We start from the raw sequence: 24,338 nt of genomic DNA, 5'->3' as shown, positions 1-24,338 counted from the left end.
CCTCAGACCCAGGAATCTAAGTCCCCAGCCCCCTCTGGACCTTTCTGCCTGCCGGGCACACCGCCGAATCCGAACACCTCTGTCCCTGTTCCCAACACCCCAGAGGCCCCTGCCTCTTTTTCTTTAAACCCAGGACTCCAGGTCCCCATCCCTCTCCTTTCTTGGATCCAGGAATCTGGGCCCCCCGTTTGAACTTTTCACTCCCCTGAACTTGACTCCAGTTGCTGCGTCAGGGAAAAAGTAGGCGACAGGTGGCACCTGCCGGTAGGGCCAGGACACGACCACCTGCCGCTGCTGCTCACCCGGCGCCCCTCTCCGGGCACCTGCTTCTGTCAGTCCGCCTGCCACCGTTCCCCCCGACCCCACAACCCCAGGACGTGCAGGAGGAGCGAGCCGGGGAACCCTGACGTCCCCGCTCTCACCCCCCAGCATCCCCCAAGGCCCGCACAGGCCCTCCCAGCGGGTGCTCCCACCCCTTCTCAGGGTCCCCGGCGGGGCTCCCGTCACACCCCAGGAAGGTGGGTTGGAGGCGGTCCCAGGCTGGTGGGGCGGAGCCTGTGGTGTCCAGCCTCGGCCTCTAGACTCAACCCGCCCCAGAGCACAGCTTCGCCGAGCCCACCTGGTGAGAAGCCCCTGGGGTGGACGGGGGGGGCGCACTCCTCAACGGTTCTATCCCCTCTCTGGTCCCAGTCCCTTCCCCAGAGAACCTGGTGGCTGACACCCTACTCACTCCTTCTCAGATGCAGGTCACAGGGGCCCTTCTATTCCTCAGAAACCTGTCAGGGCCCCGTTCCCCTCTCCACCCAGGATCTTGGATTCTCATCTCCTAAGAGTATTGAGTTCCAGCCCTTAACCTCCTTCTCCTTCAAGATTCCAGACTCCAGGCCCCTCTGCTTCCTCCCTTTCCTAGACACAGGGGTCCCAACCCGCAACCCTTCCTCCTCAGGACCCAGGAGTCCCAGATTCCAGGTCCCTCCCCTCCCAGGATCCCAGGGTTGAGACCCTCAGCCCTGTCTTTCAGACCAGGTGTCTGGGTCCCCAGCTTCCTCCTTCCTCGGAGCAAGGTGTCCGGGTGTGCAGCCCCCTCCTCTACAGCCCCTGGGATCCGGAAGTTATGGCCCAAGGCTGCTCCTATTCCCACCTCCTTCGGGCCCTTTCCCTGCTGAATTCACTCTCAGGGGCGGCCTCCTGACCTCCACTCTGAGCCAGCCCTCTATGGGGCCCCTGCCCTGCCCCCTCTCCGTCCAGGTCCCCATCCCGGCCTTGGCAATGACCCTGGCGGCTTCCTCCCAGCGTTCCCAAATCATTCGCTCCAAGTTCCGATCTGGTGAGAGAGGGCTCTCTTTATGCGTGGGGGATGGGATCCTGAGAATGCTGTACTCTGGGGTGGGAAGGGAGGGGTGGTAGGTCCCATGAGGCCTGTGTTTTTTGTGCAAAAGGTCATGTTGCATAAAGGAGGCCCAAGCACAGGGGTCCGGCTGTGGTGGATCAACGAGTGTGCAAATGGCTAGTAGCATGCTCACGGGGGGAGCAATGGGGATTGGAGGCCAGGGGTAGGCGTGCAGAGGGCTCAAGCACTGAAGAGAAACAAAGGCTTATACTGGCGCACACGCAGGGGCAGAAGAGCAGAGGAGGGACCTCAGAGGACCAGTGTGGGAGTTTGGGTGAGGGGACAATGAGCTGTCAAGCTGTGAAAGTGTCAAAGGTCTTGTTTTAGGTCCCAGGGCAGGCAAAAAGTCTGCAAGTATAGCCGGGTGTGGTGGCGCATGCCTGTAATCCCAGCTACTTGGGAGGTTGAGGCGGGAGAATCGCTTGAACCCGGGAGGAGGAGGTTGCGGTGAGCCGAGATCACGCCATTGCACTCCAGCCTGGGCAACAAGAGCGAAACTCCATCTCAAAAAAAAAAAAAAAAAAAAAAAAGAAGTGTGCAAGTGTTTCGAACTACAGATCAGTTCCTGAGAAGGCAAAGGGTACTTGAGTGTGCACGTGAGCGTGCCTATGTGGTTGGATGGGTACAAAGACACCAGCAATCAAAGAGCAAGGAGTATACAAAAAGGCGCATATGTCCAGAGAAAAGCAGAAATGTGCAGAGAGATCCTTGCTCCCAAATTGGGGGACAAACCCTGACTGTGCACATAAGAAAGTGAACATTCATCCAGGTGGGGCGCGGTGGCTCTTACCTGTAATCCCAGCACTTTGGGAGGCCAAGGCAGGTGGATCACCTGAGGTCAGGAGTTCAAGACCAGCCTGGCCAACATGGCGAAACCATGTCTCTACTAAAAATACAAAAAAATGACGCCGGGCAAGGTGGCTGATGCCTGTAGTCCTAGCACTTTGGGAGGCCAAGGCGGGCGGATTGCCTGAGCTCAGGAGTTCGAGACCAGCCTGGGCAACACGGTGAAACCCCATCTCTACTAAAATACAGAAAATTAGCCGGGTGTGGCGGCGTGCACCTCTAGTCCCAGCTACTGGGGAGGCTGAGGCAGGAGAATTGCTTGCACCCGGGAGGTGGAGGTTGCAGTGAGCTGAGATCGCACCACTGCACTCCAGCCTGGGTGACAGAGCGATACTCTGTCTCAAAAAATAATAATAATAATAATTAGCCGGGTGTGGTGGTGAGCACCTGTAATCCCAGCTACTTGGGAGGTTAAGGCAGGAGAATCGCTTGAACCTGGGAGGCAGAGGTTGCAGTGAGCTGAGATTGTGACATTGTCCTCAAGCCTGGGTGACAGAGCGAGACTTTGTCTCAAAAAAAAAAAAAAAAAAGATAGTTAACATTCATCCTGGGCAACACAGCAAGACCCTGTCTCTACAAAAAATTAAAAAACAAAACAAAAAAATTTAGGTAGTCCCAGGTACTCAGGAGACTTAGGTGGGAGGATGGATTGAGCCCAGGAGTTCAAGGCTGCAGTGAGCTATGATCACACCCCTGCACTCCAGCCTGGGTTACAGAGTGAGACCTTGTCTCTAAAAAAATAAAACAAATTAAAAAAAGGAAAAAAAAACAGTGTTAACATGGATGCTGAGGCAGAGTGAGTCAAGGATGAAGAGTCTGCAAAAACATGCAAGTGCGTAAAAATGGCATGTGTGCAAAACTAGAGCCCAGAGAGATGCATACTGAAAATGTGGATATGCGGAGAGTGTTGACTGTGGGAAGGCCCCGAGATAGCACAGAAAGTAGCAGGAGTGCATGGATAAAGGGAGGCGAGGTGCAAAGGGGCCAGGCTGCCAAGATAGCGATTGCGCAGGGGGTGGGGTGGGCACACGCTTGCTCATGGAGGGGGCAGGTGGAGCCGGGGGCAGGGCTGCCTCCAGCCTGCACGCTGGCTGGCTCGTAGCCCCAGAATGGCGCTGGCCCGCGGCGCTGCGCTGGCAGGGAGCAGGCGGGAGGCCCGAGGAAGGGAGCCTGCTGCCCGCCCACCCGCCTGCACAGGCTGTGTAAGGGGGCTGGGCACGCATATCCCGCCAACAACTGCAGCTCCCACCAGCCTGCCAGGCCAGGCTCCTGGACACTCCCTTCCCGCCTTCCTCCTCCCACCTCCCTCCTCCCTCCACAGTCCTCCAGCTTCGGATCCACAGACGGAATCAGGAGCAGAGTAAGTATGGGCCCCAAAAGGGAGGGGATGGTGACCCCCCACTCCCCACTGGGATATCCTGGAATACAGCTGCCAGATACCCCTCATTGGTTCCTGCAGCTCAGTCTCCATCCCCTGGGACAGACCAAAATCCCATCCTGTCCTTTCCCAAGGATCCAGGGTCCAGGTCTCTGGCCACCCCACCCCTAGGAGCTCTGCTTCCTGCTTCTCCACCCTAATGAGATGCTTGAACTTGGATCCTGCTTCTTTGGAGAAGACAGGCATCCTGGTCTCCACATTTGGTATACATGAGAAGCTCTGGATATAGCTTTTTTTTTTTTTTTTTTTTTTGAGATGGAATCTTGCTCTGTCGCCAGGCTGGAGTGTCATGGCTCAATCTAAGCTCACTGAAACCTCTACCTCCCAGGTTCAAGCGATTCTCCTGCCTCAGCCTCCTGAGTAGCTGAGATTACAGGCACGTGCCACCACGCCTGGCTAATTTTTGTATTGTTAGTAGAGACGGAGTTTCACCATGTTGGCCGGGCTGGTCTTGAACTCCTGACCTCAAGTGATCCGCCCGCCTCAGTCTCCCAAACTGCTGGGATTACAGGCGTGAGCCACCGCGGCCGGCCTGGATGTAGCTTTCAGCCTCTCCCTCTCCCCAAGAACCAGGAGTGCAGGCCCCACCCCTGTCCTAGCAAAACCTCAGACATCTGTGATCCTCAGCTACCACACCCCTTTGTGATAGAAAATTCCTGCTTTACTTGAGAATGTAGCAACCGGAGCCCCCCCACACCTCCGCCCTCAGATCCAGTTCAGGCGCCCATCTCCCAGCAATCAAGTCTTGCTCCCTGGCCTGCCCTCCGGCACCCTGGAGCCCCGCTTTCCACACAGCCTTGCTCCTCCCGGCCTGGCTTGCTGCCTGCAGGCCTCTCAGGGTCCTTCACCGTCTCTCCAGTCTCGGATCCGGACCCGTGGATCTCAGCCTCAGACCCTCCTCTGGCCCCGGCCTTGCCCTCGGGCACGGCCCCTTTCCTCTTCAGCCCTGGGGTCCTGCTCCCCGAGCCAGAATATTGTCCTCCTTGGAGGTCCCCAAAGAAGGTGAGTCTCGACTGGAGGGAGAGGTCCCTCTGAGAGCCTAGTCTTTGTCTCCCTTGTTGCTGCTGCCATTTTTGCTCCTCTTCGGTGGCACCGAGCTGACCCCATACTTTGCATGTAGTCCTGGGGCCGGAAGGTGGGAGCCGCGCTGAAGCCTAAAACATCACACCTGCTCTTTCAGGAGTCTCCCAAGATCTCCCAACGTTGGAGGGAGTCCAAGCCCAGGGGGAACTTGACATACCACCAGTACATGCCCCCAGAGCCGAGACAGGGATCCAGGGCGGACCCCCAAGCCGAGGGGTCCGCCCTGGGTCCTCCTGGGCCATCTCTGTGGGAAGGGACAGACTCGCAGCAGCCACATCCTAGGTATGACACCCACTTCTGTTCTCCCGGGACCCAGAAATTCAGGTCCCAGCATCCTCCTCCCTCAAACCTCGAGTCCAAGATTAGGGGATTGGGGCCCCCAACCCTCTCTTCTCCCAGGGTTTAAGAGTCCAGGATCCCAGCCCCTCCCTTCGCCCTTCAGACCCGAGTCTGAACGCCTAGTTCCTCCTCCCCCATGCACAGAAATCTAGCCCCATGTTTGCGCCCTTGGAGACCCAGAATTCTGGACCCTCACTTTTCTGCATCTTCCCCAGCTCCCCGTCTTTGAGGACCCCAGAACGCCTTTTCCCCCTCTACCTCTCTAACCTTTGTTCGCCCCTCACGATTATCACCAGGATGAAGCCCTCTCCCCTCACTCCCTGCCCACCAGGAGTCCCTAGCCCCTCGCCCCCCCCACACAAGTTGGAACTTCAGACCCTTAAACTGGAGGAGCTGACGGTGAGTTTGGGGTGTAACTTTCCAGGCCTTCTCTCTCCTTCGGTGGGGTCCCAGAATTCCAACCCCGCAGCCTCTGCCCTCTGGAAATCCAGGAGATCGGGTACCCAGTCCCATCCTGTTTTAGGGTCCCAGGAGTCCGGACCCCCAGTGCCTCCTTTCTCGGTTTCCAAATATCCTGTCCAGCTCCTGCCTGCGCCCGGGAGCCCGCCCAGCACTGCCTCTTCCCACGCCCCGCCCCTCCCCAGGTCTCAGAGCTCCGGCAGCAGCTGCGCCTGCGGGGCCTCCCAGTGTCGGGGACCAAGTCTATGCTCCTGGAGCGCATGCGCGGCGGCGCGCCGCCCCGCGAGCGGCCGAAGCCGCGGCGCGAGGACAGTCCCGCGGGTGCTCCCTGGCCGCGCCTCAAGCCCAAGGCCCTGGCAGCCGCCCGGCGTCAGGGCTCGGTGAGGGCGGGGCTATGAGCTTGCGGACCAATGAAGAGAAAGCAAAGTGGGCCGGGGCGGGGTGTCGAAAAAACTAGCCAATGAAGTGTGGGGGCGAGGACCAGCGGTAGGAAGCCTTGAAGGCGAGGGGACGTGGTTCAGACTAACAGGGGGCGGATCTTTAGAGAAGAGGAGCCAATGAAAGAATAGGGGGCGAGGCCAAAGGGGTTGATGAGCGAGGGGTCGCGAGAGGATCAAGGGGTGGAGCCACACGTTGCGAGTGGGTGGGGTTGCGCCCTGTGGGCATGGCTTATGGGCGCTCGCCCTCTTGGCTGCTCTAGGTCAAGCCCAGCGCAGCATCTCACAGGCCACCTCTTCCACGTGCCGCGGATACCCCGGGGACGGCTCCGGCTCCAACTCCCACTCCGGCTCCTGCTGCAGCTCCAGCCCTGACCCCTTCCTCAGGGCCGGGCTCAGCGGCTCTGACTCTGGAGGAGGAGCTGCAGGAAGCGATCCGGAGGGCGCAGGTAAGAGGGTGTGGGTTGAATCCGGCTAGGGTTCTCCAGTCAGGTCCAGGTCGCAGTCCCGAGTTCACGCCAAATTTCTCCATCCGCAGTTGCTTCCTAACCGGGGCATCGATGACATCCTGGAGGATCAGGTGGAGCCTGATGGTAGGATCCAAACTGCTAGATTTAGGGGAGGTGGGGGCTGAGGTTCTGGACTCCTGCGTCCAAGGGAGGCGTGAGCTGGGGAGCTGGATCCTGGAAATGGGGTATGGGGGGCTGGCGCCCGGACCCCTGACTTTCCAAGCTCATGTACCATTCTTTATCCCGCAGACCCCCTGCCCCCTATTCCCCTGGACTTCCCTGGCTCCTTCGACGTGCTGTCCCCCTCCCCGGACTCTGAAGGCCTCTCATCTGTTTTCTCCTCTTCACTCCCGTCTCCCACGAACTCCTCCTCCCCTTCTCCCAGGGACCCCACGGACTCCCTGGACTGGCTGGAGGCCCTGAGCGGGGGTCCTCCTCTGGGTTCTGGTCCCCCACCCCCCAGCATCTTCTCCGCTGACTTATCTGACTCCAGCAGCAGCCGGCTGTGGGACCTGCTGGAGGATCCATGGTGATGGATTCTAGGATTTACAGAGACAGAGAACTGATGGGGGTGGAGAGAAGCTCCTTGTGGGAGGAGAGGGAACTACCAGCAGAGCCCCTCCTACCGCAGACACAGGATCGGAGACAACCTCCAACCCCACCTGCCTCCTGAAGTGCTGCTGACATGCAACTGCCTTAACTTTGCCTACCTGGCCTCCTTATGATCCCCCTCCGGCGTGGTATGGTTGGGGGGCTTCTTTTGCTGCTGGCCACGGCAAACAAGCTGCTTGCTGCTTCCTTCAGAGACCTCATGGATGTTCTTACATGCCCCCGACCCCGGTAGATGGCTCCCTGTTGTTTGGGGAGCCTGGAAGGTGGTTATGCCTTTTGGATGCAGGAGAGGAGCAAGAAAGAGTGGAGAGGGAGAATGGGGGAGCCGGACCCTGACCTCCCTGGGTTCTGGTTGGAGATGAAAAAATTAGAAGCATCAGGTCTAAGATCAGCTTCTCTTGGAAGCAGAGCCTGAGACAAGATATAAATGCCAGTCATTTATTAAAGAAGTGTTCTGGCTGGGTGCGGTGGCTCACGCCTGCGATCCCAGCACTTTGGGAGGCTGAGGCAAGTGGATCACCTGAGGTCAGGAGTTCGAGACCAGCCTGGCCAACATGGTGAAACCCTGTCTCTACCAAACACACACACACAAAAAAAAATTAGCTGGGCATGGTGGCACATGCCTGGAATCCCAGCTACTTGGGAGGTTGAGGCAGGAGAATCGCTTGAACCCGGGAGGCGGAGGTTGTGGTGAGCTAAGATCGCTCCATTGCACTCCAGCCTGGGCAACAGGAGCTAAACTCCATCTTAAAAAAAAAAAAAGAGAGAGAGAAAAAGAAAGAAATGTTCCCAGGAGAAACCAGCAGAAGAGTGGGGAAAACAGGACAGCAAAGGGGAAGAGGAGCAAGAGGTGACTTCAGGTGAAGTTCCAACCTCAGCCTAATCCTGCAGGGAGCTCCAGAGCACAAATTAAGTTGTGGAGTCTTTCCTGTCTTGGGACACATGGAACTGGGCCTTTGTATCTCCCTGTTTGAGCTTATTATAGCCAAACAACAAACCAGGCTCAGTGGCAAACGCCTGTAATCCCAGCACTTTGGGAAGCTGAGGCAGGCAGATCACTTGAGGCCAAGAATTCAAGACCAGCCTGGCCAACATGGTGAAACCCATCTCTACTAAAAATACATAAAAACTGGGCCGGGCACGGTGGCTCACACCTGTAATCCCAGCACTTTGGGAGGCCAAGGTGGGCGGATCACGAGGTCAGGAGATCGAGACCATCCTGGCTAACACGGTGAAACCCGGTGAAACCCTGTCTCTACTAAAAATACAAAAAAATTAGCTGGGCATGGTGGCATGTGCCTGTAGTCCCAGCTACTCGGGAGGCTGAGGCAGGAGAATGGCGTGAACCCGGGAGGCGGAGCTTGCAGTGATCTGAGATTGTGCCACCACACTCCAGCCTGGGCAACAGAGCGAGACTCCGTCTCAAAAAAAAAAAAAAAAAAAAAAAACTAGCCAGGTATGGTGGTGGGAGCCTGTAATCCCAGCTACGTGAGAGACCGAGGCAGGAGAATCACTTGAAACCAGGAGGTGGAGGCTGCAGTGAGCTGAGATCATGCCACTTCACTCCAGCCTGGGCAACAGAGTGCTACTCCATCTCAAAACAAACAAACAAACAAACAAACAAACAACAAAAACCCACACCACCCCAAAACTTAGAGTTGTAAAACAATAACTATCTATGACTGCTCACAAATGCATGGGTTGACTGGGCTCAGCAGGGCAGTTCTTCAGTTCCATGTGATGTTGGCTAGAGCTGCAGTCATCTCAGGGCCCACCTGGGCTAGCACATACAAGATGGCACATCAGATGTGTGTGGCACCGTGGTGGGGATAGCATGAAGGCTGGGCCCAGCTGGGTTGTGCAGTGTGACACTCCATGCAGTGTCAGCACTATTCCTCTGTGGCCTCTCCCCCGGGATAACTAGATTTCTTGCATGATAGCTCAGGGCTCCCAAGAGTGAGTATTCCAAGAGCCAGGAGCAGAAGCTACCAGTCTCTTAAAGACTAGGCTTGAAACTGGCACAATTTCTCTTCCACTGTATTTTATAATTAATGCAAGTCAGGCAAGCCCACGTTAAATACGGGAGGGCACTATACAAATCTGTGAATATCAGGGACATGCTCACTAGGGGCTACATCTGGAGACTTGCCACTATACCACCCCTAGTCAGCCATGAGCCATGGGTCACAGAGGGAGGGAGGAATGACATAAACTCCCAGGAACCTCCAGCCCAAGGGCAGTCCTGGGAAGAACGTCATAGGGTAAGTTGTTAGCAGCAAAATGTTTTAAAATGTAGGTTTTGGCCGGGCGCGGTGGCTCATGCCTGTAATGCCAGCACTTTGGGAGGCCGAGGCGGGTGGATCATGAGGTCAGGAGTTCGAGACTAGCCTGACCAATATGGTGAAACCCAGTCTCCAGTAAAAATACAAAAATTAGCTGGGCATGCGCCTTTAATCCCAGCTACTCAGGAGGCTGAGGCAGGAGAATTGCTTGAATCTGGGAGGTGGAGGTTGCAGTGAGCCAAGATCGCGCCACTGCACTCCAGCCTGGGTGACAGAGTGAGACTCCATCTCAAAAAAAAAAAAAAAAAATAGGTTTCAGGGCCAAACACCGTGGTTCATACCTGTAGTCCCAGCTACTCTGGAGGCTGAGGCAGGAGGATCACTTGAGCTTTGAAGTTTGAGGTTGCAGTGAGCTATGATTGCACCAGTGCACTCCAGCCTGGGCAACAGATCAAGATCCTGTGTTTCAAAAAAAAAAAAAAAAAAAAAAAGATTGGGCCCAGTGATTCACGCCTGTAATCCTGGCACTTTGGGAGGCCGAGGCGGGTGGATCACCTGAGGTCAGAAGTTCGAGACCAGCCTGGCCAATGTGCTAAAACCCCATATCTACTAAAAATACAAAAAAAAAAAATAATTAGCCAGGTGTGGTGGTGCACACCTGTAGTTCCAGCTACTCGGGAGGCTGAGGCAGGAGAATCACTTGCAGTGAGATGAGATCATGCCTGCACTCCAGCCTGGGCAACACAGTGAGACTCCATCTTAAAAAAACAAAAGTAGTCCCAGCACTTTGGGAGTCCGAGGCAGGTGGATCACGAGGTCCGGAGATCAAGACCACGGTGAAACCCCGTTTCTACTAAAAATACAAAAAATTAGCCAGGCGCAGTGGTGGGCGCCTGTAGTCCCAGCTACTGGGGAGGCTGAGGCAGGAGAATGGCCTGAACCCAGGAGGTGGAGCTTGCAGTGAGCCGAGATCACGCCACTGCACTCCAGCCTGGGCGAAAGAGTGAGACTCTGTCTCAAAGAAATAATAATAAAAATAAACAAAACAAAACAAAAAAGACCAGAAGAGGCAAGGTAAGTGGGTTTGAGATTACCTAGTTTGAATTTCAGCAGGCTCTGGAGCATAGAGGCTGTCCTGAGTTTTTGGTGCCTGGCTCAGGGAGCCTGTGCTCATAAAGGTGTGGATGGGGTGTGGGCTCTGGATTGGCTGGTTTACATAGGAAAGGTGAGTAGTTAACTATCTCTAGCATTTGGCTATCCCTGGGAGGGTCAGTCCCTCCAGAGTCATCGAGGCCCGCACTTGTCAAAGCAGCAGAAGTTCAGAAAATACAAAGGCATGATTAATACACCAAGCACACAAGCTGGGGGCTGGGTGCACAGAACTGGCAAGAGGAATCTGAAGGCACCTGGGTGCGCCACCAGCACTGTCCACTGCAGGTGGAAAAGAACAGTAGACCAGGCTGGGCGCAGTGACTCATGCCTGTAATCCCAGCACTTTGGGAGGCCGAGGCGGGCGGATCACCTGAGGTTGGGAGTTCGAGACCAGCCTGACCAACATGGAGAAACCCCGCCTCTACTAAAAATACAAAATTAGCCGGGTGTGGTGGTGCATGCCTGTAATCCCAGCTACTCGGGAGGCTGAGGCAGGAGAATCACTTGAATCCGGGAGGCGGAGGTTGTGGTCAGCCGACATCACGCCGCTGCACTCCAGTCTCAGCCTCCCAAAGTACTGGGATTACAGGTGTGCACCACCATGCCCAGCCATTTCTGCATTTTTTTATAGAGACAGGGTTTCACTATGTTGCTCAGGCTGGTCTTGAACTCCTGACCCCAAGTGCTCCTCCCACCTCAGCCTCCCAAAGTGCAGGGATTACAGGCGTGAGCCACCACACCTGGCCCAGAGACTTTTCTGACTGTATCACTCTCCATATCAATGTGTCCCCATCTCTGCCTGACTCAGGTCACTCTGTCCTGGTTCTGTCTTCATATCTCTTCTCTGTTCTCTGTCTGATTTGCCCTCTGGCTGTTCTCTCCTCCCTATCTCTGTCTCCAACTCCCTCCTGCCCTTTATCCCTGCTGCATCCGTCATCCCTGTCAGTCTCTGCGCTCATCTCTCTGTGTCTCGGGCACTCGTCTTTCAGCTTCTGCCAGGCCCCCCACCTGCCTCCATTGCACCTTCCGCATCTCGCCTGCATCCAGAGTGGGCTCTGTTGAGCTGAGGGTGCACGTGGTCCCTGCACTGCCCCAAGGAGTCAGGGCCAGGAAGCCGGCTTGGTGGGGTGCCTGTCTGAACCTTCAGCCTAACTGAAAGGCTTGCCTCCTGCACTGCCGGCACTGCCGAGCGCCCAACACCCAACTCTTCTCCAAAGACTTCATCCCTCCCTCCTGCCTCAGGAAAACCAGGGCTGGACCAAGGGGGATCAGATGGGGAACCCCAAGCAGCACCTTCCTTCTTTCCTCTGATCTCAACAGAAGGTGGATATTTACATCATGAGGCCTGAAAAAGACCACCAACATCAAAATACCAAAAATTACTAATTTATATTATAAACGTACTCCCTCCCCAAAAGGATATAGTCATGTTCATTGTGTAGACTGGAAAAAATATTTCTCCTCCTCCTTCCTCTCTTTTTCCTTCTTTCCTTCTTCTTCTTTTTTTTTTTTTTTTTTTTTTGATGGAGTTCACTCTTGTTGCCCAGGCTGGAGTGCAATGGCATGATCTCGGCTCACCGCAACCTCTGCCTCCTGGGTTCAAGCGATTCTCCTGCCTCAGCCTCCTGAGTAGCTGGGATTACAGGCATGCGCCACTACACTTGGCTAATTTTGTATTTTTAGTAGAGACAGGGTTTCTCCACGTTGGTCAGGCTGGTCTTGAACTCCCAACCTTAGGTAATCCACTGGTCTTGGCCTCCCACAGTGCTGGGATTACAGGCGTGAGTCACCACACCTGGCCTCCTTCCCCTCCCCTCCCCTTCTTTCTTTCTTTTTTCTTTCTTTCTTCCTTTCTTTCTTTCTTTTCTTTCTTTCTTTCTTTCTTTCTTTCTTTCTTTCTTTCTTTCTTTCTTTCCTTTCTTTCTTTGTCTTTCTTTCTTTCTTTCCTTCCTTCCTTCTTTGTTTCTTTCTTTTCTTTCTTTCTCTTTTCTTTCTCTCTTTTCTCTCTCTCTCTCTCTTGAGTTTCGCTCTTTTGCCCAGGCTGGAGTACAGTGGCGATATGTCAGTTCATTGCAAACTTCACCTCCTGGGTTCAAGTGATTCTACTGACTCAGCCTCCCGAGTAGCTGGGATTACAGGTGTGCACCACCACGCCTGGCTAATTTTTGTATTTTTAGCACAGACAGAGTTTCACCATGTCAGCCAGGCTGGTCTCAAACTCCTGATCTGAAGTGATCCACCCACCTTGGCCTCCCAAAGTGCTGGGATTACAGATGTGAGCCATAGCACCTGCTTGCCTCAGGATCTAATTGTATCTTTTCAATTATCTTTTTTTTTTTTAGACGGAGTCTCGCGCTACTGGCAGGCTGGAGTGCAGTGGCACAATCTCGGCTCACTGCAACCTCCACCTCCCGGATTCAAGCAGTTCTCCTGCCTCAGCCTCCCGAGTAGCTGGGACTACAGGTGCGTGCCACCACAGCAGCTAATTTTTGTATTTTTAGTAGAGGCAGGGTTTCACCATGTTGGCCAGGATGGTCTTGATCTCTTGACTTTGTGATCCACCTGCCTCGGCCTCCCAAAGTGCTGGGATTACAGGCGTGAGCCACCACGCCTGGCCTGTATCTTTTCGATTTTTAAAAATTTTGTTAGTGATGGTGTCTTGCTATGTTGCGACTTTGGAATGCAGTGGCTATGCACAGGTGTGATTGTGGCTCACTGAAGCCCCAAACTCCTGGGCTCAATTGATCCTCCCACTTCAGCCTTCCGAGTAGCTGGTCCTACAGTTGTATTCCACTATACCCAGTTAGTTTTTTATTTTTTGTAGAGACAGGATCTCCCTATGTTGCCCAAGCTGGTCTTGAACTCTTGCTCTCAAGTGACCCTGCCACCTTGGCCTCCCAAAGTGTTGGGATTACAGGCGTGAGCCACTGCACCTGGCCTGTACCAATTATATTTTGAAGTGATTTGTTAATGCCGTCTTGAGAGCAGGGATCGTATCTCCTAGATTGCTTTCTGATACATGATAGGTGCACAGTATGTATTTGTGGGTAGTCTGGAGAAAATACTGTAATATTGAGATCTAAAAAATCGTTGTAAAAGTTGCCTTGTTCTTTTTTTTGACCAAGTTTCGCTCTTGTTGCCCAGGCTGCAGTGCAATGGTGTGATCTCAGCTCACTGCAACCTCCATCTCCCAGGTTCAAGCGATTCTTCTGTCTCAGCCTCCCTAGCAGCTGGGATTACAGGCATGCACCACCACGCCTAGCTAATTTTGTATTTTTAGTAGAGACAGGGTTTCACTATGTTGGCCAGGCTGGTCTTGAACTCCTAACCTCAAGTGATCCATCTGCCTCAGCTTCCCAAAGTGCTGGGATTACAGGTGTGAGCCACTGCACCCAGCCAAAGCTGCCTTTTTGATCCAGACTTGTAATAGGATTCCATCTACTCTTAAGAATTTTTTTTTTTTTTTTGAGATGGAGTCTCACTCTGTTGTCCAGGCTAGAGTGCAATGGTGTGATCCTGGCTCACTGCAACCTCTGCCTCCCTGGTGCAAACGATTCTCCTGCTTAAGCCTGCCAAGTAGCTGGGACTACAGGTCTGCACCACCACCCCTGGCTAATGTTTTGTATGTTTAGTAGAGACAGGGTTTCACTATGTTGCCCAGGCTAGTCTCGAACTCCTGACCTCAGGTGATCCGCCCGCCTTACCCTCCCAAAGTGCTGGGATTACAGCCACCATGCCTGGCCTAAGATGTATTTTGGAGTTCATGTGATACTTATGTAATACGCTCTCAGAGAACCTTTTCTCCCATCCGCAAAGTCATAATTGTGTTTATTCATTTATTTATTTATAAGAGTCAGGGTATCACTACGTCGTCCAGGCCGCAGTGCAGTGGCTATTCGCAAGTCCAATCACGGTGCACTATATTCCCTAACTCCTGGCATCAAGCAATCCTCCCACCTCAGCCTCCCTGGTAGCTGGGAATACCCAACTCCATGACTGTATGCACACTGGTGATTAAAAAAAATTATTCCTTTGATGACTGTGTAATGGTTACAAATGTATCCTCTGAGAGGGAAGGCTGCTGTGGGGGGTTTCACTGCCTGACATGTAACACATGTGCTGCAAACATTTACTGAAAGAATGAACGGAACGCCCTGAAGTTCACTGAGCCAGGCTGGTCTCTCAGTTCTAGCAATGATCATCCCAGGCCCTAGAAAGCCAGGATTGAAGAGGCAGGACCTATGGACTTGGATGCATGCCAGCTACAAGCCAATATGGCACATTTGTGCAAACTGGAAAAAGGCTCCACTTCCAGATGGACTAACTAGAAAACAGTGAGCTCTAGGGCCGGGCGCAGTGGCTAACACCTGTAATCCCAGCACTTTGGGAGGCCGAGGAAGGCGGATCATGAGGTCAGGAGTTTGAGACCAGCCTGACCAACATGGTGAAACTCCATTTCCACTAAACATATAAAAATTAGCTGGGCGTGGTGGCACGCACCTGTAATCCTAGCTACTCGGGAGGCTGAGGCAGGAGAATCGCTTGAACCTGGGAGGCGGAGGCTGCAGTGAGCCAAGATCATGCCACTGCACTCCAGCCTGGGGGATGCAGCAAGACTCCATCTCAAAAAAAAAAAAAAAAAGAAAAGAAAAAGAAAAGAAAACAGTGAGCTCTCTGGGTGGACACAATGCCAAGGACACCTGGTTTGATGAGTAGACTGTGGGTCTGTTTAAACCCCACTTGCCTTCTTAACCAGGGGACTTCCTGCAGTGAACAACCTACACAACCCCTCAGGGCATCTCTGTTGTCTACTCTAAAGCCATTTCCCCTTTTCACCTTGGTAACACCACCCTAATTTTCTGCAAGCTGCATGTCCTTCAGAGGTGGCTGATCAACTTCTCAGCTGCAGAATCTGAGGCTAAACTAATCCCAGAAGTCTCATTTCTTTTGCCTCCTATCGGGTCACATGGGTATGTGACAATTCCTACCCATCGGAGTTGGGGGGAAATTGCTGGAAGGCTTAGGAAGGTTTCATTCATTCTTCAAAAGGGACCAAGACAAGAACGAGCCTCTTTCTGCTGTTTTTGAAAGGAATTATCTGCATGTGATGGCTGGATGTGTAGCAGCCCTTTTGGGACCATGGGATGATACAGCTAAGAAATGGTAGCACAGCATGTGAAGATGGATGGAGCTCAGGTGACTGATGACTTTGTGGAGCCGCTAAATTAACTGACCCTGGACCTGGGCCACTTCTGGTCTTATGTGATATGCATGATTATGGTCTTTGAACCCATTCATTTCTTTTTCTTTTCTTTTTTTTTTTTTTTTTTTTGAGATGGAGTCTTGCTGTGTCACCCAGACTGGAGTGCAGCGGCACCATCTTGGCTCACTGCAACCTCCGCCTCCTGGGTTCAAGTGATTCTCTTGCCTCAGCCTCCCGAGTAGCTGGGATTACAGGTGTGCACCACCACGCCTGGCTAATTTTTGTATTTTTAGTCGAGATGGGGTTTCACCATGTTGGCCAGGCTAGTCTTGAACTCCTGACCTCAAGTGATCCACCCACCCTGGCCTCACAAAGTGCGAGCATTACAGGCATGAGCCACCACGCCAGGCCACTGTTCACTGAGATTTCTGTTACTTGCAGCCCAACGCATCTTCACAGAAGAGAGATGGGTCCTGCTCATGGAACCATGTGCTTCTCATGCCCGGGCACTCATCTTGAGGGAGGCAGAGAAGGAGAAAAGGTCTCAAAGAATGGGCCAGCATTAGTGCTTGAGTAAGGGGGACAGGTCTGCGGCAATCCCTGTCCACTCCGGCAGGAAGGCTGCCTCTGGCTTAAAGATTTTGAGGAAAGGGGAGTCGGGGAGGGTGTAATTGGCCAGGTAGATGGTGTCTCCGCCCGTGAGGTATGCGGCCCAGATCCCGAACGTCCCAATGGTCATGATGGTGTGGTTACACTGTGTGAGTAGAGCAAAATCTTTGGCAGGTGAGCCCTCAATGCCATCGCCAGCAAACACCACATCACCGTGGGAGGTGTCAATGTTCTCCCGACACCAGGCCATGCCATTACTGGTGACCACGAAGATGAGGGAGCTGTAGCGAGCTCGGAACCAGTCCAGGGCCTGCTGTAGGTATCGCCGGTCGGCCACCACCCCCTTCCACACTTTTGGCATGACATGGACATAGTCCCCTCGGCGAACATGGACCCCTACAAAGGTGCCCGGCCGGCTCCCGTTCACCTGCAGGCCCCGCAGGAACTTCTGGGCCTCCTCCCGCACGTGGTCGTGCAGGGTGAACTCCTGGAGGATCTCCTGGCGGAGGTGGTGGTAGAAGGTCCAGGAGCAGGGGTAGCCGGTGAAGCGGACGTACTCCCCCGGGATGTGGCGGTATTCCTCCTCCATCCAGTCGTTCAGGTGGTAGTTCTGCCAGGGGATCCTGCTGGCCGTGGCGCTGTGCAGCACCGGCAGGGTGATTCTGAAGATGGGGGCCAGGGTGCTGTGCATCTGGGCCGGGATGAAGGCGGGCCGCCCGTTCATCTTGGCCAGGGCGTACAGTGTGGCGTACTCGCCCATCTGGTTCCCCAGGCGGCCTATTGCATTGATCGTCCACATCCCCCTGAGCTGGCTGGGTCCCAGTGCCTTTGATGTTGAGGCTAGCACTGGTATCTGCACCGGTAACTCCCACATGGCTTGAATCTTCGCTAGCCGCTGCTGAACGTGAAATATAGTGGAAACCGTAAAGACAAAGAGGATGAAGTGGGCCATGGGAAAGGAGAAAGGCATCTGAACGACCAGCATGGCTGTCAGGGGAGGAAAACGGGACACGTTAGCTGGGAGATGGAGGCCCGGGGCGCTGGTGAACGTGGCCATGCGGTGGTGTGCAGGCATAGTGTGGGTGTGTGTGTGCTTCTACTTCAGGTGTGTAAATACTTGGCACATACTTGCCTATGTGCACAGGCATGTATCTCAAGTGTGTTTATACAGATGTGTCTACATTGTGTTCATAGGTGGGTGTGTGTACACAGGTAGATGCGTACACATTGTGTGTAATGTGGATATGGGGATCCATACATTGTATACATATACAGGTGTGTGCAAAATTGTGTGTGTACATATACAGCTGTGTACAAATGGACATGTGTACATGGTAGTGTATGGGTAGAGATATATCGTGTACATGTAAGGGTATATGTGTAAGTATGTATACACATACATATGTCATCTAGGTGATTGTGAACACAGCATGTGTGTATATGTGAATGTGTATACATATATATGTATATATATACACTTTGTGTATCTATACATTGTATGCATTTTTTGTTTATTAATTTTTTATTTATTTTTTGAGACAGGATCTTGCTCTGCCACCTGGGCTGGAGTGCAGTGGTGAGAACGTGGCTCACTGTAGCCTTGACCTCCTAGGCTCAAGCAATCCTCCTGCCTTAGCCTCCCGAGTAGTTGGGACTACAGGTGCACATCACCACGCCCAGCTAACTAAAAACAAATTCTCTTTTGTAGAGATAAGGTCTCAGTATGTTGGTCAGGCTGGTCTCAAACTCCTAGGCCCAAGTGATCTTCCCACCTTGGCCTCCCAAAGTGCTCAGATTATAGGCGTGAGCCACTGCACCTGGCCCACATGGTATGTTTAAATGTGGGTGTTTATCGACTGAGTGTACATATGTGGGTGTCCACATATGGTGAGTACAAGTATATGTAGCTATTATTTACTGGTGATCCAGTTTGTAGAGATGTTCTTTTTTTTTGAAATGGAATCTCTGTCACCCAGGCTGGAGTGCAATGGCACGATCTCTGCTCACTGCAACCTCTGCCTCCCAGGTTCAAGCTATACTCCTGTCTCAGCCTCCTGAGTAGCTGGGATTACAGGCGCCCGCCACCACGCCTGGCTAACTTTTGTATTTTTAGTAGAGACGGGGTTTCACCATGTTGGTCAGGCTAGTCTCGAACTCCTGACCTCGTGATCTTTCTGCCTCAGCCTCGCAAAGTGCTGGGATTACAGATGTGAGCCACCGCGCCCGGCCCAAGATGTTCATCTTTTGTTTTTATTTTCCTACTTGCCAGAGTCCAGTGCCAGAGATATTCATCTTTGCATGTCCTGCCTGTATCCACTTTGAAGGGAAATTGTCCACCTGGCCTGCCTGCCCTCCTGGCCGCAGCCAGTTGAACTTGAGAGGAACACCCAGCTCCACCGTGGACTTCCCATTCATCGGCCATGGCCTATGACAAGTGTAGGCTGGCTCTAAAAGATGAGTTGTGGCCGGGCGCGGTGGCTCACGCCTGTAATCCCAGCACTTTGGGAGGCCGAGGTGGGCAGATTAGCTGAGGTCAGGAGCTGGAGACCAACCTGGCCAACATGACAAGGCCCTGTCTCTACTAAAAATACAAAAATTAGCCAGGTGTGGTGGCGGACGCCCGTAATCCCAGCTACTCGGGAGGCTGAGGCAGGAGAATTGCTTGAACTCGGGAGGCTGAGGCAGGAGAATTGCTTGAACCCGGGAGGCGGAGGCTGCAGTGAGCCAAGATCATGCCACTGCACTCCAGCCTGGGGGACACAGCAAGACTCCATTTCAAAAAAAGAAAAGAAAAGAAAAGAAAATAGTGAGCTCTCTGGGTGGACACAATGCCAAGGACACCTGGTTTGATGAGTAGACTGTGGGTCTGTTTAAACCCCGCTTACCTTCTTGACCAGGGGACTTCGTGCAGTGAACAACCTACACAACCCCTCAGGGCATCCCTGTTGTCTACTCTAAAGCCATTTCCCCTTTTCTCCTTGGTAACACCACCCTAATTTTCTGCAAGCTGCTTGTCCTTCAGAGGTGGCTGATCAACTTCTCAGCTGCAGAATCTGAGGCTAAACTAATCCCAGAAGTCTCATTTCTTTTGCCTCCTATCGGGCCACATGGTTATGTGACAATTCCTACCCATCGGAGTTGTGGGGGGAGTTGCTGGAAGGCTTAGGAAGGTTTCATTCATTCTTCAAAAGGGACCAAGACAAGAACGAGCCTCTTTCTGCTGTTTTTGAAAGAAATTATCTGCATGTGATGGCTGGATGTGTAGCAGCCCTTTTGGGACCGTGAGATGATACAGCTAAGAAATGGTAGCTGGCTGGGCGCGGTGGCTCACGCCTGTAATCCCAGCACTTTGGGAGGCCAAGGCGGGCGGATCATGAGGTCAGGAGATCGAGACCATCCTGGCTAACACGGTGAAACCCCGTCTCTACTAAAAATATATATAAAAAAATTAGCCGGGTGTGGTGGTGGGCGCCTATAGTCCCAGCTACTCAGGAGGTTGAGGCAGGAGAATGGCATGAACCTGGGAGGCGCAACTTGCGGTGAGCCGAGATCGCGCCACTGCACTCCAGCCTGGGAGACAGAGCGAGACTCCGTCTCAAAAAAAAAAATAAAATAAAATAAATGGTAGCACAGCATGTGAAGATGGATGGAGCTCAGGTGACTGATGACTTTGTGGAGCCGCTAAATTAACTGACCCTGGTCCGCTTGCAGTCTTGTGTGATATGTATGATTATGGTCTTTGAACCAGTTCACTTCTTTTCCTTTTCTTTTTTTTTTTTTTTTTTTTTTGAGATGGAGTCTTGCTCTGTCACCCAGGCTGGAGTGCAGTGGCGCCATCTTGGCTTACTGCAACCTCCGCCTCCTGGGTTCAAGCAATTCTCTTGCCTCAGCCTCCTGAGTAGCTGGGATTACAGGTGTGCACCACCACACCTGGCTAATTTTTGTATTTTTAGTCGGACGGGGTTTTACCATGTTGACCAGGCTGGTCTCAAACTCCTGACCTCAAGTGATCCACCCACCTCAGCCTCCCAAAGTGCTGGGATTACAGGCGTGAGCCACCATGCCTGGCCTCACAAATTCTAGATAAAGCTCCTTTCTCATCACTACAAAAGTATATCCTTTCACTAAGTCCAACACAGAATGCTGGACTCGATGACTCAAAGACACATCACCACCAGTGGCTAGGTGCACAAGCTCTGGCCAATTTCAGACTCACAGTCACGAGCTGTGTGATTTTGGGCAAGTGACATCACCTCTCTGAGGATTAAAACAGTGTCTGGCACATATACACAGGCGGTAAATGTTTGCTATTGTCACCCACAAGGCAAAGAATGCTGTTCGTTTTAGGCTCTGGGTGAAGAACCCAGGTTTCCCAGTTTTGATACTGGGAGTATTGATAGTGGTCAAATGTAGCGTTTAAACCATAGATCATAGAACGGGAGGTAGCCGGGCACAGTGGCTCACGCCTGTAATGCCAGAACTTCCAGAAGCCAAAGTGGGTGGATCACCTGAGGTCAGCAGTTCGAGACCAGTCTGGCCAACATAGTGAAACCCCTTCTCTACTAAAAATACAAAAATTAGCTGGGCATGGTGGCGCGCACCTGTAATCCCAGCTACTGGGGAGGTTGAGGCAGGAGAATCACTTGATCATGGAAGGCAGAGATTGCAGTCAGTAAGCTAAGATCGCGCCACTGCACTCCAGCCTGGGCGACAGAGTAAAACTCCATCTAAAAACAAAACAAAACAAAAAACCCACCCAGGTTTCCCTGTTTCTTTAGGCCTTCATTTCTGAAGGCTCCCATGTCAACACTTGCCTTAAATACATTTGTTATGCTTGTGTCTGTTAACCTTTTACTGTAGGTGCCCCAGCTGCAAACTTTGTGATAGGTGAGGAAAAGATGCTACTTTTTCTCACCTATGGAAGGAAGGAAGGAAGGAAGGGAGGGAGGGAGGGAGGGAAGGGACAGAGATGATAAAAGGGACAGAGGAAGAGACAAATAGAGAAAAAGACCAGAAGACACAGAGAGAGGCAGGACTAGAGAGACAGGGAGAATGAAACAGACAGGGACCAGGCATGATGGCTCACACATGTAATGCTAGCACTTTGGGAGGCTGAGCTGGGAGGATTGCTTGAGTTCAGGAGTTCGAGATCAGCCTGGACCACATAGTGAGAACTTGTCTCTATTTTAGAGAAAATTAGGCCAGGCGCAGTGGCTCACGCCTGTAATTCCAGCACTTTGGGAGGCCAAGCGGGGGCGGATCACCTGAGGTCAGGAGTTTGAAAGCAGCCTGACCAACATGGAGAAACCCCGTCGCTACTAAAAATACAAAAATTAGCCAGGCGTGGTGGCACATGCCTGTAATCACAGCTACTCAGGAGGCTGAGGCAGGAGAACCACTTGAACCTGGGAGATGGAGGTTGTGGTGAGCTGCGATTGTGCCATTACACTACAGCTGCACTCCAGCCTGGGCGACAGAGTCAGGCTCTATCTTAAAAAAAAAGAAAAAAGAAAAGCAGAATGTTCTACACGGATGTCCCTGCCTCCTTGGTAGCTCCCTACCTCCTTACCCAGGAAGGAGGAAGGTGGCTGCTGAGTGGCCCAGAGCAGGAAGCTGGGCACTGACCTTGACTGGAGCCTGGAAGGAGAGAAGGAAGAGGTGGGGAGGCCTCACAGAGCAAGCTGCGCTATGAGATTGTGAATTTTTGAGGTTTGGCGAGATGCCCTGCACGGCATGATCAGGAACCTTTTATGTGCTGTGTGACTTTAACCCAGGGCTTTTACCTCTCTGTGTTTCATTGTCCTTGTCTGTCCATCAACAGGGGGTTGTGGGGAGGGATAAAAACAACACCTCCCCAGAGGTTTCAGTGAGCTGAGATCACACCATTGCACTCCAGCCTGCACAACACAGTGAGACTCCGTCTCAAAAAAAAAAAAAAAAAAAAAAAAGAGCCAGTGCAGTGGCTCATGCCTGTAATCCCAGCACTTTGGTAGGCTGAGGCGGGTGGATCACCTGAGGTCAGGAGTTCGAGACCAGCCTGACTAATATGGTGAAACCCCATTTCTACTAAATACAAAAAATTAGCCAGGCATGGTGGCTCATGACTGTAATCTCAGCTACTTGGGAGGCTGAGGAAGGAGAATCGCTTGAACCTGGGAGGCGGAGGTTGCAGTGAGCCGAGATTGTACCATTGCATGCCAGCCTGGGCAACAAGAGCAAAAATCCATCTCAAAAAGATACAACAACAACAACAAACCACACCTCCCTTAGGGCTGCGTGGGCACAAAGGGAAATGCTGTATTACATGGGCTGTCCCTGGTATTCAGAGCAGAATTTGTGCCCCAAACTCACACTTATGTCAGGCTTGAACCAAGCACCACTCCCATTCTGCCTGAAGGCATTATTTTTTTTGAATTGCTTTTTTTGTAGGGATGGTGGGGAGGGGGTCTTGCTATGTGGCCCACACTGATCTCAAACTCCTGGCCTCAGGAGGTCCTCTGTTCTCCTTCCTCAGCCTCCCAAAGTGCTGGGATTACAGGCATGAGACACCACACCTGGTCTATCTTACTGAGATTTTTTTTTTTTTTTTTTTTTTTGAGACGGAGTTTTGCTCTTGTTCCCCAGGCTGGAGTGCAATGGCACAATCTCGGCTCACCACAACCTCCGCCTCCCGGGTTCAAACGATTCTCCTGCCTCAGCCTCCCGAGTAGCTGGGATTACAGGCATGCACCACCACGCCTGGCTAATTTTGTATTTTTAGTAGAGACGGGGTTTCTCCATGTTGGCCAGACTGGTCTCGAACTCCTGACCTCAAGTGATCCGCCTGTCTCGGCCTCCCAAAGTGCTGGGATTACAGGCGTCAGCCACCACGTCCAGCCCCGTCCACGTCTTTCTATTGCGGCCCGGCTTCCTCCTCTCCCCTCTGTCCCCTACACCCAGCGCCGGCCCTGCCCCTTCCCAGCTCGCAGCCCCTTCAGGGCTCCCTATGCCTCTTAAGACACAATCCCAGTCTCTCGCCGGCCCCGCACACCCCTCCGGCTTTGTCACCAGCTGTTCCCGTGAAATAACCCAGCTCTCCGCTCACCCGGGGCCCCGTCCTGTCCCCCAGCTCTGAAAGCCTTTCTCTACCCCAACCGCCCCGTGCCCCGGGCAGCTCAGCACATCCGGCTCAGTCGCACCCCACTGCCTCGAGCTCGCTGTCTTCCTGCACCTCCCCGGGATTCCCGGATTCCCGGCATTATCACTTCCACCCTGGGGAGGAGAAGGGAGCTTCAGACAATAACGTAGGGCCATCACTTGGAAACCCCACCTTTATTCTCCGACCCAGAACAGAAGCGGTGATTCAGAGCGGGATTAGGGAGTGCAGGAGGGACGGAGCCGCCCTCCCTGGGCGACGGCAGGGCTCGGAGGTGAGACCAGCAGTTTGGGTTCCATGAAGCCTCTGAGGAGCCCCAGGGTGGAGGCAGGAAAGTCGGGTCACCACCAGCTGTGCGCGAGCCATCTGCACCATTACTGCCAGGGTGGTTCATAGAAACTGCTGAGGGGAAGGAGACAAGGAAGGACCTGGTGGCCCGGGGTGGAGAAGGGGAGGGAGCTGGTGGTTGGAGCTCTAGAAACAGATCCACCTGGAAGGAAGTGGGGAGGGAGCTAAGGAGGGCGGCTGGCTGGGGAGGGGGGTCCTGGCTGCCGAGGGAGGGACCCTCCTCTCCTGGAGGTCCTGAGTTGGGGGTGCCTCCCAGAGGGCACCAGGGACCCACGAGGGCACACAGGTCCACGTCCCAAATCCCTGCTCTCCGCCTGGGCGTGTGTGCAGAGGTGTGCGTGTTGTAGGGTGGGAGAGGAGCCCCCTCACCTTCTCTCACCTGGTCCTGCTGAAGGAAACCGGGACAGAGTGGTTGGGCAGGCACCTCAGTGTTCCCTCTGGGTCTCTCTTCACTCAGGGCCAAAGAAACCCTTCCAGCATCGGTGACTGGCAAACC

At 53.2% G+C, this 24,338-nt stretch overlaps 2 protein-coding genes and 1 long non-coding RNA gene across 18 annotated transcripts, besides 2 other annotated features; 2 read left to right on the top strand and 1 right to left on the bottom strand.

Moving 5' to 3' along the window:
- MAMSTR (MEF2 activating motif and SAP domain containing transcriptional regulator) lies at window positions 576-14,583 on the top strand. Of its 15 annotated transcripts, none has more exons than NM_001130915.2 (10): window positions 576-622; window positions 1,249-1,327; window positions 3,558-3,596; window positions 4,534-4,676; window positions 4,855-5,039; window positions 5,393-5,495; window positions 5,741-5,935; window positions 6,256-6,441; window positions 6,531-6,585; window positions 6,751-7,576. In NM_001130915.2, exons 2-10 carry the CDS (start codon window positions 1,270-1,272, stop codon window positions 7,032-7,034), a joined length of 1,248 nt encoding a protein of 415 aa, NP_001124387.1. In that variant the 5' UTR covers window positions 576-622; window positions 1,249-1,269; the 3' UTR covers window positions 7,035-7,576. The 15 variants fall into 15 exon arrangements, with proteins under 15 accessions (NP_001124387.1, XP_047294597.1, XP_011525110.1 ...); XM_047438641.1 differs by having other exon boundaries at window positions 4,504-4,676; XM_011526808.3 differs by having other exon boundaries at window positions 4,345-4,676.
- Window positions 5,684-5,973: a silencer, noted in NCBI's record as "silent region_10899". NCBI's record gives its function as "represses an Ori minimal core promoter by ATAC-STARR-seq in GM12878 lymphoblastoid cells {active_cell/tissue: GM12878}" and the evidence as "EXISTENCE:reporter gene assay evidence [ECO:0000049][PMID:35858748]".
- FUT2 (fucosyltransferase 2 (H blood group)) lies at window positions 14,350-24,330 on the bottom strand. Of its 2 annotated transcripts, none has more exons than NM_000511.6 (2): window positions 24,212-24,330; window positions 14,350-17,346 (listed from the first exon to the last, which is right to left on the bottom strand). In NM_000511.6, the coding sequence occupies exon 2, from the start codon at window positions 17,342-17,344 to the stop codon at window positions 16,313-16,315; it is 1,032 nt and encodes a 343-aa protein (NP_000502.4). In that variant the 5' UTR covers window positions 17,345-17,346; window positions 24,212-24,330; the 3' UTR covers window positions 14,350-16,312. The 2 variants fall into 2 exon arrangements, with proteins under 2 accessions (NP_000502.4, NP_001091107.1); NM_001097638.3 differs by having other exon boundaries at window positions 24,222-24,330.
- On the top strand, window positions 16,453-17,851 carry LOC105447645 (uncharacterized). Its single transcript, NR_131188.1, has one exon. It is a non-coding gene; the product is annotated as an uncharacterized LOC105447645 (long non-coding RNA).
- Window positions 23,368-23,931: an enhancer, noted in NCBI's record as "H3K4me1 hESC enhancer chr19:49199627-49200190 (GRCh37/hg19 assembly coordinates)". NCBI's record gives its function as "activates a minimal SCP1, AML or CMV promoter by ChIP-STARR-seq in naive H9 embryonic stem cells {active_cell/tissue: H9 hESC(naive)}" and the evidence as "EXISTENCE:reporter gene assay evidence [ECO:0000049][PMID:30033119]".

Source organism: Homo sapiens, chromosome 19 (genome assembly GCF_000001405.40).
Source record: "Homo sapiens chromosome 19, GRCh38.p14 Primary Assembly".
Lineage (NCBI taxonomy): Eukaryota > Metazoa > Chordata > Mammalia > Primates > Hominidae > Homo > Homo sapiens.
The sequence above is the reverse complement of the archived record's forward strand: the minus strand, read 5'-3'. Positions and strand labels throughout refer to the sequence as shown.